Source organism: Homo sapiens, chromosome 13 (assembly GCF_000001405.40).
Source record: "Homo sapiens chromosome 13, GRCh38.p14 Primary Assembly".
Taxonomy (NCBI): Eukaryota; Metazoa; Chordata; class Mammalia; order Primates; family Hominidae; genus Homo; species Homo sapiens.
This window is the reverse complement of record NC_000013.11, coordinates 45,410,557-45,426,529: the sequence shown is the minus strand read 5'-3', so window position 1 is coordinate 45,426,529 and position 15,973 is coordinate 45,410,557. Positions and strand designations below refer to the sequence as shown.

General features: G+C 40.3%; 1 protein-coding gene and 1 long non-coding RNA gene across 11 annotated transcripts in view, besides 6 other annotated features; one reads left to right on the top strand and one right to left on the bottom strand.

The window, feature by feature from the left end:
- Positions 1-15,973, top strand: part of SLC25A30 (solute carrier family 25 member 30) — a 40,701-nt gene that overhangs the window by 7,487 nt on the left and 17,241 nt on the right. For 3 of the 10 annotated variants that reach the window (XM_005266321.3, NM_001010875.4, XM_005266322.2), the window contains exons 1-2: positions 8,157-8,230; positions 15,050-15,168. In XM_005266321.3, coding sequence (XP_005266378.1) covers positions 15,105-15,168 — 64 coding nt within the window. In that variant the 5' untranslated portion in view covers positions 8,157-8,230; positions 15,050-15,104. Of the gene's footprint in view, positions 1-8,156; positions 8,300-14,591; positions 14,798-15,049; positions 15,169-15,973 lie in introns of those variants that run through there. The other 7 variants (XM_006719793.5, XM_047430241.1, XM_006719794.3 and 4 more) reach the window with 5 other exon arrangements.
- Positions 3,374-3,875: an enhancer, noted in NCBI's record as "OCT4-NANOG hESC enhancer chr13:45996790-45997291 (GRCh37/hg19 assembly coordinates)". NCBI's record gives its function as "activates a minimal SCP1, AML or CMV promoter by ChIP-STARR-seq in naive H9 embryonic stem cells {active_cell/tissue: H9 hESC(naive)}" and the evidence as "EXISTENCE:reporter gene assay evidence [ECO:0000049][PMID:30033119]".
- On the bottom strand, positions 6,159-8,368 carry SLC25A30-AS1 (SLC25A30 antisense RNA 1). The gene is made up of 2 exons (NR_047031.1): positions 7,792-8,368; positions 6,159-6,282 (listed from the first exon to the last, which is right to left on the bottom strand). It is a non-coding gene; the product is annotated as an SLC25A30 antisense RNA 1 (long non-coding RNA).
- Positions 7,753-7,942: an enhancer, noted in NCBI's record as "active region_7680". NCBI's record gives its function as "activates an Ori minimal core promoter by ATAC-STARR-seq in GM12878 lymphoblastoid cells {active_cell/tissue: GM12878}" and the evidence as "EXISTENCE:reporter gene assay evidence [ECO:0000049][PMID:35858748]".
- Positions 8,053-8,152: a silencer, noted in NCBI's record as "silent region_5317". NCBI's record gives its function as "represses an Ori minimal core promoter by ATAC-STARR-seq in GM12878 lymphoblastoid cells {active_cell/tissue: GM12878}" and the evidence as "EXISTENCE:reporter gene assay evidence [ECO:0000049][PMID:35858748]".
- Positions 8,193-8,522: a silencer, noted in NCBI's record as "silent region_5316". NCBI's record gives its function as "represses an Ori minimal core promoter by ATAC-STARR-seq in GM12878 lymphoblastoid cells {active_cell/tissue: GM12878}" and the evidence as "EXISTENCE:reporter gene assay evidence [ECO:0000049][PMID:35858748]".
- Positions 8,753-8,802: an enhancer, noted in NCBI's record as "active region_7679". NCBI's record gives its function as "activates an Ori minimal core promoter by ATAC-STARR-seq in GM12878 lymphoblastoid cells {active_cell/tissue: GM12878}" and the evidence as "EXISTENCE:reporter gene assay evidence [ECO:0000049][PMID:35858748]".
- Positions 13,542-13,836: a silencer, noted in NCBI's record as "tiled region #15232; HepG2 Repressive non-DNase unmatched - State 19:H4K20". NCBI's record gives its function as "represses a minimal TATA promoter and a strong SV40 promoter by Sharpr-MPRA in HepG2 cells {active_cell/tissue: HepG2}" and the evidence as "EXISTENCE:reporter gene assay evidence [ECO:0000049][PMID:27701403]".

Below are 15,973 nucleotides of genomic sequence, written 5' to 3'. Positions count from 1 at the left end.
GGTTCACGTAGGGATCAGCAAACATTTTTTGTAAAGAACTACATTGTGAAGATTTTACTCTTTAGGGCCCGGGAGGAAAAATTGAGATTATGTAGATACTTACATAACGATTTAAAATGTAGCCACTTAAAAAATATAAAAACTGGGCCGGGGGCGGTGGCTCATGCCTGTAATCCCAGCACTTTGGAAGGCCAGGGCGGGTGGATCACGAGGTCAAGAGATTGAGACCATCCTAGCCAACATGGTGAAACCCCGTCTCTACTAAAAACACAAAAATTAGCTGGGCGTGGTGGCGCACGCCTGTAGTCCCAGCCACTCAGGAGGCTGAGGCAGGAGAATTGCTTGAACCTGGGAGGCGGAGGTTGCAGTGAGCCGAGATGGCGCCACTGCACTCCAGACTGGTGACAGAGTAAGACTCCAACTCAAAAAAATATATACATTTAAAAATATATTTAAATGTATATATATATTTAAAATGTATATATAAAAATATATACTTTATATATTTTATATGTATATATATAATACATATAAACTGACCAGGCGAAGTGGCTCATGCCTGTAATCCCAGCACTTTGGGAGGCTGAGGCAGGTGGATCACTCGAGGTCAGGAGTTCAAGACCAGCCTGGCCAACATGATGAAACCCTGTCTCCACTAAAAATACAAAAATTACCTGGGCATGCTGGCGGGCACCTGTAATCCCAGCTACTCTGGAGGCTGAGGCACAAGAATTGCTTGAATTCAGGAGGTGGAGACGGCAGTGAGCCGAGTTCCCACCACTGCCCTCCAGCCTGGGGGATACAGCGAGACTCAGTCCCAAAAAATATATATGTGTGTATATATATTTATATATACTTATATATATATTTATATATACTTATATATATATTTATATATACTTATATATATATTTATATATGTATATATATATGTATATATATATTTATATATATACTTATATATATTTATATATATACTTATATATATATACTTATACATATTTATATATATGCTTATATATATTTCTATATACTTATATATATTTATATATGCTTATATATATTTATATATACACTTATATATTTATATATACATATATTTATATATACTTATATATTTATATATATACATATATATTTTCATATATACTTATATATTTTTATACATATACTTACATATAGTTATATATACTTATATATAGTTACATATACATATATATTTATATATACGTATATATACGTACATATATTTATATGTATACGTATATATACGTATATATATTTATATATGTATAAATATTTATATACATACGTATATATATACTTACATATATTTATATATGTATATATATTTATATACTTATATATATTTATCAATATATTTATATATATTTATATACTTATATATTTATAAATATATTTATATATTTATAAATATATTTATATATTTATATATATGTATATATACTTATATATTTATATATTTATATATACTTATATATTTATATATGTATATTTATATATATTTATATATTTATATATATTTTTATATACTTATATATATTTATATATTTATTTATATATTTATTTAAATATTTATATATTTATATATATTTATATATATTTATATATATTTAAATATATATTTATATATTTATATATATTTTTATATATATATTTATATATATTTTTATATATATATTTTTATATATTTATATTTTTTTATATATTTATATTCTTTTATATATTTATATATATATATTTATATATTTATATAAATAGATATAATATTTATACATATTTATATATATTTATATATGTATTTATATATCTTTATATATATCTATATATAACTATATATATTTCTATATATTTATATATATTTATGTTTATATACATATTTATATATATTTATATATATTTATATATATTTATATATATTTATATATATTTATATATTTATACATTTATATATATTTATATATTTATATATTTATATATATTTTTATATATTTATATATATTTTTATATATTTATATATTTATATACATATATTTATATATTTTTATATGTTTATATATTTTTATATATTTATATATATATTCATATATTTATATATATTTTTATATATTTATATATTTATATATCTATATATTTATATATATTTTCATGTATCTATATATTCATATATTTATATATATTTTTATATATTTATATATATTTTTATATATTTATATATTTATATATATATTTATATATTTATATATATTTACATATATTTATATATTTATATATATTTACATATATTTATATATTTACACATATATGTATATTTATATTCATAAATATTTATATATATTGATATATTTCTATATATATACTTATATTTATATATTTATATATTTATATATATTTATATATATTTTTATATATTTATAGATTTATATATATTTATATAAATATATATATTTTTATAGATTTATATATATTTATATAAATATATATTTTTACAGATTTATATATATTTTTATATATATTTATATAAATATATATTGTTATATGTTTATATATATTCATATATTTTTTTATATATTTATATATGTTTATATATATTTTTATATATTCTTATATATATTTATATATATATTTTTATATATTTTATATATATTTATATATATATTTACATATTTATATATATAAATATATATTTATATTTTTATATATATAAATATATATTTATATATTTATATATTTATATATTTTTATATATTTATATATATTTATATATTTATATATATTTATATATATTTATATATGTTTATATATTTATATATTTATATATATTTATATAAATATGTATTTTATATATATTTATATAAATATGTATTTTATATATATTTATATATATATATTTTATATATATTTATATATATATATATTTATATATATTTTTATATATATTTATATATTTTTTTTATGTATTTATATATATTTGTATATATATTTGTATATATATATAAACTATTCTTAATTCTGGGGCTATACCGAGACAGGCTACTGGATAAATTGGTCCATGGACCATAATTTGCTAACCCTTGGGCATAAAAATTAAAAAGATACCAAAATAAGTAAATGCAGAGAGTAACGTAAAATTAAATAAACCAGATTTCTAAGTACAGCTCACCAGACTTCACATGAGTTTCCCTGCACTGTTGTTCTTACTATTGTGTCTAGTGGAACACATCTAAGGAAGCAGAAGTACTTTTTAGCAGGACTTACAACTGTGGTAATATCAATGGGAAGGGACAGACAATTTGACAAAGCCTCCATCCTGACCTCTGTCTTCCTGCCAACTCTCAAATTATAGAGACTCTCCAAATGTGCTTATATTTATTGGGGACCCACAGTGCCAGGTGCTATGCTGAGCACTAAGAATACAGTAGTGAGCAAGACTGGGTCCCTACCCCAACGAGCTTACTGTTTCATGGGAAGACTGTCGAGAAAACTGCTCATTCTTTTGAAGTGCGGTAACTGTTCTCATAGCAGCATGGATGCACAAAGAGGGCAGGCACCCATTTCACCCAGTTTTTAGTGATTAGGAGAGACTTCCTGGAGGACATGGTGTCCAAACTGAGGCCTGATGGATGAGAAGGGCTTAGCAAGAGAAATAACTCAGCAGGTGCAATGCAGTGTGTGCCAAGTTGCAGAGGTAAAAGGGAGTATCCCTGTGTTTGGGGAGCTGTGAGTATTTTATACAGCCATTCAGTGACTTACACAAAAGATGCATTCTCAACAAAGCACCTGTAACCAAGAAAAACAAATGCCCAAAGCAACATTCCTATAAAACAGGATTTCTAAAACTTCAGTACTATTGCCACCTTCCTGGGCATTGTTGAACGTTTAGCAGCAACCTAGGTCCCTACCAACTTGCCAGTAGCAAGCATCTAGTTGAGGCAACCGAAAAACTCCAGACATTGTGAATTTCTCCTGGAGGGCAAAATCTGATTCAGATTGAGAACCGCTGCAATAAAATATAATGATAAAGAATTTTATGGGCTCATTCCCAGTACACCAGCTAGGAACACTGGCCTATCCAGGTGTTCTTCTTAGGAGTAGCAATGGCTCATTGCTTCTGCATTTTGCCAAGGAGAGGAGGTGACCAGATGTCTCAGTCAGATACAACCTCCTCCTTTCGCCAACCACCAAATGTTACCCCTAAAAGGTCTGACTAAGCCCTTTCATTCTGCAAGCACCAACCATCCAGAAAAACCTGTGAGACTCATTCTTGACAAGACGCAGGTCCATATTATCTGCATCATTCCTGTAGTTTAATGTAATTAAACAAACATTTATCAAATTGTAGTTGATTCCAAAGCATTTGTTATTTATTGCCACTATATAGTGCACACACAATTGCCAAGATGATGAAAACCATGATGTGGGTAAAAAATGGTTCCTGCTGCCCAGCTCCTCATAGAGATTGGCATCATCCACCTAAGGGAGTGTAGTGAGGGCTTTTGGCTGTGTGGATGTTACTGTTCTAACAGTTTGCTAATAAAAGGCCTAAATGGCAATAAAAGCCCAGCTACTTGAGAAGTGCCTATATGGCCAGACTTTAGAATGTAGGATTGAGGGGCAAGTGCATGGGTGAGGAGGATAGGGAACTGGATTCTTATGGCTGGAGGGCTCTAAGGACCACGTGGTCAGGGGCCTTAATCTTGAGGACACTGGGGAGCCAATGAAGAATTTTAAGCTGGTGAGTGCCATGGCCAGATGAATTCAAAGATATTTCTACAGCACTTACATTTTACAAAGTATGTTTTTGCACACGTCGCCTCATTTAACATTCTGTAGGGAGGGTATTGTTTCCATTTTGCAACTGAGGACTTTAATTAACTCAAGGCCAGAGAGCTAATAAAGCTGTGGCCAGGATTGAGTAGAACCTAGGTCTTCATTTCCATATTGCTACCTGGGTGTGTTAACTGTAGTCAGATAAAAAACATGCACAAAGAGCCAAATAGGGGGAAAGTTGAAGGCAAAGAATAGATGAAAAAGAAGTTGCTTCCAACAGGGACTGGCACTGAATAGTTCGTAGATATATTTCTGGACTTACCACTTTTTTTTAATTCTTTTTTTTTTTTTTTTTTTTTGGAGATGGAGTCTTGCTCTGTTGCCCAGGCTGGAGTGCAGTAGCACGATCTCAACTCACTGCAACCTCTGCTTCCCAGGTTCCAGCAATTCTCCTGCCTTAGCCTCCCAAGCAGCTGGAACTATAGGCAGGCAGCACCATGCCCGGCTAATTTTTGTGTTTTTAGTGGAGATGGAGTTTCGCCATGTTGGCCAGGCTAGTCTTGTACTCCTGACCTCAGGTGATCCACCTGCTTCGGCCTCCCAAAGTATTGGGATTATAGACGTGAGCCACCACGCCTGGCCTTTTTTTGTTATTCTTGTTTCTAAACTGGTTATGCTGCTGCAACCAAGTTACTATTCCCTAGAGAAATAGTTTCCAATCCCTGGGCCAAGACCCTTGGAGGAACCCAAGGTTACTGCAGGGGCCCCACAAATTCCATATGCATTTTCATAATGGACACTGAAAATACTACCATCTATTTTATAGGGACTCAAAATTTTTAAAAAATTCAGTTTTCTTTCAAAAAGATCTTTGGCCAGGCATGGTGGCTCATGCCTGTACTCCCAGCACTTTGGGAGGCCGAGGCAGGAGGATTGCTTGAGTATAGGAGTTCGAGGCTGCAGTGAGCTGTGACTGGGCCACTGCACTCCAGCCTGGGTGACAGAGCGAGACCCTGTCTTGAAAAACAAAACAAAACAAAAGCACAAAAAAACCCACAAAGGGATCTTCATACTTGAAGGCTGGCCATTCCTGTGTATTTCTAAGTATTATCTGAGTATTAGCATGGGCTGGTGGGGCTTAGGGTAATGGTAGAGTTTGGGTGTCCAAAAGCTCTACAGGAAAGGGAGGAATCCAGTGCTTTGTATGTAGTACCACACAGTCATGAGTCTGGAAAGGACTTGGTGAGGTGAGAGAGAGGTAGAAAGGGTCATGTACTTATTTCCCTGCCCTAGAAAGGCAAGCATTCCAATGACTTTCCCCCACAGGCTGGGGATTGTATTTGTTTTTATGGCCAGAATTCAGGGGATACTTCAAAGGGGTCCAAATTTTATTGATTTCAAAACATTGTGTGGCCAAAAATCCAGGTACTCACCTAGAGTCCAAGTTGGAGCACAGAAAAGAGATTGTTTAAGCTCAACCTGGGGCCTGAGCTGGAGACACAAGAGAAGGAAATGAGAGAGAGATGGCCCTGGGCCCTGGTTCTGTAACAGGGCAGTTATCTCATGAAACCTCTGTTCTGTCATCTGTAAAATGGAAATAACATTTCTTTGTCTTGAATGAACCAAGGGATGTAAAGATTCCTGGAGTAGCACTTTGCATCAACAGATGCAAGTTTTATACATATGCATTTTCCTTCCTCCCTTCCTTCCTCCCTCTTTCTCCTTTCCCCTTTCCTTTCTTCCCCTTCCCCTTCCCTTCGCCTCCCCTCCCTTTCCTTTCCTTTTCTTTCTCTCGCGCTGTCACCCAGGCTAGAGTGCAGCAGCTAGAGTGCAGCAGCTAGAGTGCAGCGGCGTGATCTCGGCTCACCTCAACCTCCACCTCCCAGCTTCAACTGATTTTCCTGCCTCAGCCTCCCGAGTAGCTGGGATTACAGGTGTCCATCACCACGTCCGGCTAATTTTTGTACTTTTAGTAGAGATGGGTTTTCTCCATATTGGTCAGGCTGGTCTCGAACTCCCGACCTCAGGTGATCTGCCCGTCTCGGCCTCCCAAAATGCTGGGATTACAGGCATAAGCCACTGAGCCCGGCCCCAGTTATATGTTTAAATCATGAGTTCACAGCCGGGTGCCGTGGCTCACACCTGTAATGGCAGCACTTTGGGAGGCCGAGGCAGGCGGATCACCTGAGGTCGGGAGTTCGAGACCAGCCTCACCAATATGGAGAAACCCCATCTCTACTAAAAATACAACAATTAGCCGGACGTGGTGATGGGCACCTGTAATCCCAGCTACTCGGGAGGCTGAGGCAGCAGAATCACTTGAACCTGGGAGGCGGAGGTTGCAGTGAGCTGAGATGGTGCCATTGCACTCCAGCCTGGGCAACAAGAGTGAGGCTCTGTCTAAAAACAAAACAAAACAAAAATATACCTGGGTATGCTTGAACACAAACACTGCCATACCGTTAAAAATGTTATATATTAATATATAAATAAATATTTACATATATGTATATTAGATATATATGTAAAGATTTCTACTCATAGTACGGTTCTTTTAATTTTTTGTTCTGTTTGGACATTTTCTTTCTTTTTTTTTTTTTTTTTTTTTAAGAGGGAGTATCACTTTGTCGCCCAGGCTGGAGTGCAGTGGCGCGATCTTGGCTCACTGCAACCTCCGCCTCCCGGGTTCAAGCGATTCTCCTGTTTCAGCCTCCCGAGTGGCTGGGATTACAGGCACCCGCCACCAGGTCTGGCTTTTTTTTTTTTTTTTTTTTTTTTTTTTTTTTTTTTTTTTTTTTGAGACGAAGTCTCGCTTTGTTGCCCAGGCTGGAGTGCAGTGGTACGCTCTCTGCTCACTGCAATCTCCGCCTCCCAGGTTCAAGCGATTCTTCTGCCTCAGCCACCCAAGTAGCTGGGATTATAGCGCCCGCCGCTATGCCCGGCTAATCTGTATATTTTCAAGCTAAAAGCTGGGGTATAAAAAAATAAGGGCAAGTTTACTTCCATCCAACTGTGAAGGTTCACGGGGGCACCGTGAGAAGGTTGCCCCCTGCGAAGGTTGCTTTTCCACGGTTCTCGATGCGTTCCCCAAATTTCTCTTCCACCTCCCAGTCGATATCGGAGGCCACATCAGGTGTCACCGAGTCCCGGGCAGCTCCCTCAGGCAGCGGCAGGGGAAGATCCTGAGGGGCACTTGGGACGGGCCCCGCCCCTCCGTGTCCCCATCTGGGGCTGTCAGGGGTGTGGCTAGTGCTGGCAGAAACCAATGGGAGCTGAGGAGGTCGCGTGTTTGCGCGGACGGGGCGGGGCGGCGCGGGGCTGCGTGCAGGCTCGTGGGTCTGCCCCGCCCGCGACGGCATTTTTTCCTTTTCTCCAGCGGCCTCAGGTTCTTGTTACAACTGAGTCCGGGTTGGAGGAGGTGTGGGGCCGCTGCCGCCAGGTAAGTCCTGGCCCGTGCCTCCTCCTGCCGGCCCCGCTTTCTCTGCGGCTCCTGGAACCCGGGCCTGGGGTAAGGTTGGGCTGCGATTTCCGAGGAGCCTCCTTTGCAACCGGGCGTGCTCGGGGCTGCCTGTGCTCTCCACTTCGCAGGCCGGGCCGGGCTCGGCGGGGCGCGAGGTTCCGGGGACTGGGGACAGGGCTCTGCTTCTCGGGCTGCTGCCTCCTTGGGTCGGGCCGGTGCCGCGGGGCCCCCATCGCTGTTGGCGTGGGGTGATTCCTGTTCCAGGGTCATTCAGATCCGAGTGCGAAGCCCGTCCTGGCATCTCCGCGTCTGCTAACGAGCCCCGGGCTTGCAACCCTGCTTGTGCGTCCCTCCCACTCGTGCGTTCATTCAAACGGCAGCCTGAGCGCCCGCGAGCTTCGCACTGTGGGAGAGGGCACACCACATTCGGAATCGCTCGTGGCACACAGGCTGGGAGGAACTTGCCTGGAAAGTTAATGTACCTCTGGGTTTTGAAGTCTTTCTAGGTGCACTTTCATGTAAAGCAGTTGCAGTGATTAGCATTTTTGTTCTGCGCAAGAGTAGCAAACAATGTTGGCACTGCCCTGCGGATTCGGCTTGCGGTGCTACTTGGGTAGTGAGAAAGTTGAAAGGCATGAATCTTGCTTTTGGCTTTGCCGTTGCGAAGCTTTGTGACCGCGGGCTCAGTTAATTAACGTGAAACGAGATGATAATTTCGAAGATTTCTTTTAAACCCGGCTTTTTGTAAGTCTGTGATGAGCTTAGTTTTCCTTCTGCACCTTTAAAAAGAATAGGAAATAGGAAAAGTTCATGAAAGGGCATTATTGAAAGGGCAGTCGGTCCAGCAAGGAACAATAAATGTATGAGAGCACATTAAAGGCTGTGCAATTACAGTTTTAAGACTTAAGACTAAAAAGGGAACAGGAAGTAAAACTGAAAGAACTTACCAAGAATTAAATAAGAGAAACGGCTGGGAGCGGTGGCTCAGGCCTGTAATCCCAGCACTTTGGGAGGCCGAGGCGGGCGGATCACCTGAGGTCAGGAGTTCGAGACCAGCCTGGCCAACATGGAGAAACTCCGTCTCTACTAAAAATACAAAATTAGCCGGGCGTGGTGACGGATGTCTAATTCTAGCTACTCGGGAGGTTGAGACAGGAGAATCGCTTGAATCCAGGAGACGGAGGTTGCAGTGAGCCGAGATCATGCTATTGTACTCCAGCCTGGGCAATAAGAACAAAACTCCGCCTCTAAATAAATAAATAAGAGAAACTTGGAAAGCGTTCAAAAGTACGAACAGCTAGTATTATATTTAATTACCTCCCTTTACAGCTGTACACATGAGGTCAGGTGGGTGAAAATAAATACTAAGCAACCATGTAAGAGAAAATGTAGACAGGATGTGTAACTTAGCATATATCCTAAGTGTAGGGAGAATCCTTTGAAATTCTTAATTTGTATAGACAATTTCATTCAGAAAACTTGTTTTTAACCTTTATTTATTATTTGGGACAGGGTCTTGCTCTGTCACCCAGGCTGCTAGAGTGCAGTGTCATGGTCTTAGCTCACTGCAGCCTTGAAGTCCTGGGCTTATGTGCCCCTTCCACCTCAGCCTGCGGAGTAGCTGGGACTAGAGTCGCGTACCACCATACCTAGATAATGTTTTGGATTTTTTTAGTATAGGTGGTCGTCTCATTCTGTTGCCCAGGCTGGTCTTGAACCCCTGGCCTCAAGCTATTCTCCAGCCTCAGCCTCCCAAGTAGCTGGGATTACAGGTATGTGTGACTAGCCCAGCTAACATTTTTGTTGTTGTTTTTTTACTTTGTATTTTTCACTTTTTTTTGTATTTATTTATATATTTATTTATTTATTTGAGATGGAGTTTTGCTTTTGTTGCCCAGGCCGGGGTGCAGTGGTGCGGTCTCAGCTTACTGCAACCTCCGCTTCCCAGGTTCAGGCAGTTCTCTTGCCTCAGCCTCCCGAATAGCTAGAATTACAGGCGCCCACCACTATGCCTGGCTAATTTTTGTATTTTTAATAGAGACAGGATTTCACCGTGTTGGCCAGGCTGGTCTCGAACTCCTGACGTCAGGTGATCCACCCGCCTCGGCCTCCCAAAGTGCTAGGATTACAGGCATGAGCCACCGTGCCCGGCCTGTTTTGTTTTTAACTTTAAAAAATTTGGACCGGGCGCCGTGGTTCATGCCTATAATCCCAGCACTTTGGGAGTCGGAGGCAGGCAGATCACAAGGTCAGGAGTTCGAGACCAGCCTAACCAACATGGTGAAACCCCATCTCTACCAAAAATACAAAAATTAGCTGGACGTGGTGGCACGTGCCTGTAATCCCAGTTACTCAGGAGGATGAGGCAGGAGAATTGCTTGAACCTGGGAGGCAGAGGTTGCAGTGAGCTGAGATAGCACCACCGCACTCCAGCCTGGGTGAAAGAGCGAGACTCAGTCTCAAAAAAAAAAAAAAAAAAAAATTATTCAGCCAGGCACCAACAGCTTTCTTTCTTTTTTTTTTTTTTGTGATGGAGTCTCGCTCTGTCACCCAGGCCACAGTGCAGTGGCGCCATCTTGGCTCACTGCAACCTCTGCCTCCCGGGTTCAAAGCTATTCTCCTGCCTCAGCGTCCCGAGTAACTGGGATTACAGGCATCTGCCACCATGCCCAGCTAATTTTTGTATTTTTAGTAGAGACCGGGTTTCACCATGTTGGCCTGGCTGGTCTCGAACTCCTGACCTCAAGTGATCCACCCTCCTCCACCTTCCAAAGTGTTGGGATTACAGGCTTGAGCCACCACACCCGGCCAACAGCTAACATTTTTAAAAATAAAATTTTTTATTTCCTCTGCTGGAAAATTCTATATTTATTCTGAATGTATAGAATTCCCTGCCCTGCCCCCCACCAATATTTTTTTAACAGCCCTTGGAAGATAGTGTCTGCAAAGTACTATCTAGAGGAAGGGTCATGTGATCCTTCAGAGAAACCTTAGTTTGAATATTTGGTAGCTTTGACCAGGGAAAGTTACTTTTCTTCTCTGAGGCTGTTTGCTTAGTTGTGAGATGTGGATAATGATACCTCTTTCATAGGACTGTGAAGAAAATGTATAGCAATGCCTAACAGCAGGTATTCAGGGATGACTGCTAGTGTTAGTATTATGTTCATAACGCAGCAAGGAGAAGTAAGGAATTACTGGGTTTTAGCATGGCTTAGAGAACATGGCTGTAAGAGGACTGTCAAATCAGAAGTGATCTACAGCCACTGCCCGACACTGGAATTTCTGCAAAGTTGTAATTCCTTCCCCGAGATGCTGCCCAGACACTATTGACTGCTAAGGACACATTAATCTCTCTAACTGTCTTGGCTTGTCAGCCTTGGGACTTCTGTAGATCCAGTTGGGATTTTTCCAAACAACTGTGTTTGGAATTCAAGGAAGTGTTTCACGAGACTTCCCTTCAGAAAGAGCTCCAAAACAAAGAAATGGGTTAGTTTACTGAACAGAGATTTCAGCCTAAGATACTTATAGCCCTGTCACAGCTTGCTGTGGCCAGTACAGCTTAGTGGACATCTACTTACTTATTCCAGTCCTAACTAGAACCGTTTTCGTGTGTGTGTGTGTGTGTGTGTGTGTGTGTGTGTGTATGTGTGTGTGTGTGTTTGAGACAAAGTTTCGCTTTTGTTGCCCAGGCTGGAATGCAGTGTCAAGATCTTGGCTCACTGCAACTTCCGCCTCCCGGTTTCAAGCGATTCTTCTGCCTCCGCCTCCTGAGTAGCTGGAATTACAGGCACCCGCCACCATGCCTGGCTGAGTTTTGTATTTTTAGCAGAGACTGGGTTTTGCCATGTTGGCCAGGTGGTCTTGAACTCCTGACCTCAGGTGATCCGCCCACCTCGGCCTCCCAAAGTGCTGGGATTACTGACATGAGCCACTGCGCCCGCCCCCTTTTCCTTATTTGGATGTTTGCCCATGTACTGCGGCTCTCTAGTTCATATTTAAGCCAAATTATTCTTTTACTCAGCAAACATTAACTTGATAAGTTCCAGTAATATTAACTGCTTAGGGATCTAGTCCTACCTTTTGGAAAGGAAGAGAAAGGCCAAAAAGTTGTTTTTACCTCCTGACTAGCTAACTTTTAAAAATCGTAATTGAATAGAAGTACTTGCTTATAGGATGCTGATCCAGGAGTGGACACTAATTTGTAGAAAAGTTTTATTGGTGGTACTTCTGAATGAATGGGCATGTGATTCATCCCATGTGATTGAAAACTATGAAGAAGCAATTCCATCACATTTTTAGCTCTAGTTAAGTATTTGCATATTAGTATTAACCCAGAGCCTCTGGATTTTAACCTAACCAACTGAAAACTTAATATCAAAACCGACAGAGGAAAAAGTAGCCAAATCTCATTAAAACTTAACTAGCTGGCCAGGCACGGTGGCTCAGGCCTATAATCCCAGCACTTTGGGAGGCCAAGGCAGGTGGATTACCTGAGGTCAGGAGTTCAAGACCAGCCTGGCCAACATGGCGAAATCCTGTCTCTATTAAAATACAAAATTAGCTGGGTATGGTGGCCCATGCCTGTGATCCCAGCTACTTGGGAGGCTGAGGCAGGGGAATCACTTGAACCTGGGAGGTGGAGGTTGCAGTGAGCTGAGATTGAGCCATTGCATTCCAGCCTGGGGGACAAGAGTGGGACTTTGTCTCAAAAAAAAAAAAAAAAGAGATGGAGTCTGACTCTGTTGGCTAGGCTGGTCTTGAACTCCTAGGCTCAAGCCATCCTTTCAGGAACTACAGATGCGTGCCACTACACCTGGCTTTGTTTTGCTTTTTAATCTGCAATCAGCTAGGTCTAAGAATGGGTTAAGGAAGTTAGTACTGGGTGGTAAATGAATTATTGGATTTATTATTAATAGGTTCTTACAGTCTCTTACAATCTTAACTATTATATGAGTTATGAATTTAATAAGGCTAAGAATTACTTAAGTGCAGTTATTAAATATTTTCAAAGATAATAGGGAGATGAGAGGAGTCTTTTGGGAGAGGGCTTGCTCCTTAGTACTGAAATACCTAAAAACATACAGTGGTTTTCATGTTTCATTCTTACAGAACCTTCTATTTTACTCATTTGTAACTGCTATGAATTTGGTTAATATCCATAAACAAGGAATAATGATTAATAGATTTATTCAAGGTGCCCGATGGGGGGTCCTAGTGTTGGAAACTGATATTCTGGGCAGTGGTGACTTGTGGTAGTCCTCTCCTGGGAAAAGGAGACTTGGGAAATTCCTAAACACAGGCAAAGTAAACATGTTGGCATATTGCTTGCCAATAATGACTGAAAAGTTAGAAATTTTATTTTAAACCAACAGTAGCTATAGTTGATAGTATATATACAAAAGTATTAGTCATATGAGTCTCCTGTTAAGGGGTGTGAGGCCACATTTACCAGCTCTAATTACATACAACTGCAGAACATGTCATGAATGTGAAAGGCCTTAGCTGTGGCACATAAGTACATGTCACAGTGAGCAAGGTCTTATTATGGAAAAGGAAGATGGAGGGCAATATTTGTGAGTGTCTTTAAAATATATATGGCTTAATGCCCACAATAGGCCTACAGCTTGACATTTATTTAACTTAGTGAATAAAAGTATGGATGTCCCCCTAATTGGTTGTGTTGCCTGCTGTGGTGATGATGGTGTTGGCGAAGAAGAAAACCGAGACTCAGGTTAGCAGGAACTTCTCTAGGAAGGGTGTGGGGTGGCTCTGACCCCAGAGTCAGCCTCTTTCCTCATGCCAAACTGCCTCACAGCTGGTAACGTAATAAGGCTAAGAGAAGTGAGCCGATATTTATAGAATGTAGACTACAAGTAGCCTGTGGTGGCTGGGCATAGTGGCTCTCACCTCTTTTCCCAGCACTTTGGGAGGCTAGGGCTGGAAGATTACTTGAGTCCAGGAGTTAGAGACCAGTCTACAAAAAATAAAACAATTAGGCTGGCATGGTGGTGTGTGCCTGTGGTCCCAGGTAGTTGGGAAGCTGAGGTGGGAGGATCACATGAGCCCAGGAGGTTGAGGCTACGGTGAGCCATGTTTGTGCCACTACGCTCTAGTCTTTGTGACAGGGTGAGACCCTGTCTTAAAAAAAAAACAAAAAAAGAAGTAGCTTGTAATTTTAAGTAATTGTCATTTTACCTTATGACACAAGTTTGCAACATTTGTCTGCTGCAGTGCACCTGAGGGATGTGATCCCCACCCCACCCCCCCACCCCCAGTAAGGACTCACTAAGATAGCAGTGAACGAATAGCAAATACTTTTTTTTTTTTTTTTTTGACACAGGGTGTTACTGTGTTGCCCAGGCTGGTCTTGAAATCCTGGGTTGAAACAATTCTCCTACCTTGGCCTCTCAAAATGCTGGGATTACAGGCGTGAGCCATCATGGCTGCTGCAAATACTTATTGCATGAAGAATAGATTTAAGATAAAATAGACTTCCCAGAGAACAGCTTCCGCTGCACTACACTGAATACATACACGCATACCAAGGTATCAAAGTAGCTGATTACTTCTTGAGGTCACAGTAAAAATTAAGATCACTGATAAAGTAAGATTGGAAATTGTTGATTTGAGGTTGAGGAAATAGGGGTGCTTTGCTTTATTAAGGGGAGGCTCCCCTTGGGAATTGCTGCAGGGGTTTTGGTGATAGCACTCTCCAAATAAAACCTAGGGGAAGAGTTTGGAGAAGAAACTGCCTGTGTGAGAAGTTACAGCTTGATAATATCTTATTGTTGTGTCCAGGAAAAACAGCACTGGAGGCAATGTTTCTATAAATCAAAGAAGAGACAGTGTGAGAATGTCAGCCCTCAACTGGAAGCCGTTTGTGTACGGGGGGCTGGCCTCCATCACTGCTGAGTGCGGTAAGGACCTGAGGGTGGTGGATCACGTAGCCTGCTGTATGTGATGGTGTTTGATGTGAATGTAGTTCAAGTGTAGAATGTGAGATGATGAAATGTTTGTCTCAGAATTCAAAATGTCTGTTAGCTGGGTGTGGTGGCTCACGCCTATAATCTCAGCACTTTAGTAGGCTGAGGAAGGGGAATCTCTTGAGTCCAGGAGTTCGACACCAGCCTGGGCAACAGAGTGAAACCTCACCTCTATTAAAAAAAAAAAAATTAGCCAGGTGTGGTGGCACAGGCCTGTAGTCCCCGCTACTCGGGAGGCAGAGGTGGGAGGATTGCTTGAGTCCAGGAGGTCGAGGCTGCAGTGAGCCATGTGTGAACCACTGCACTCTCCAGCCTGGGTGACAGAGTGAGACCCAGTCTCAAAAAAAAGAAAGTTTTCTTTTGGTAATGCTTTTTAAGACAAAATAGTCATTTTGGCTGCTATTAGCAGTTTAGGGTTCGAAGTTTAGTGGAGAGAAAGTTGATCCTATTGACCAAACACAAGTTTTTTAAAATTTTTTGTTTTGAGACAGGGTCTGGTTCTGTTGCTGAGGCTGGAGTGCAGTCGTCTGATCTCGGCTCACTCCAGCCTCCGCCTCCCGTGCTCAAGCGGTCCTCCCACCCGGGTCTCCCAAGTAGGTGAGACTACAGATGTGCACCACCATGCCCGGCTAATTCTTGTATTTTTATTAGAGATGGAGTTTTGCCATGTTGCCCAGGCTGGTCTCGACTCCCAAGCTCAAGAGATCCACTTGCCTCGGCCTCCCAGAGTGCTGGGATT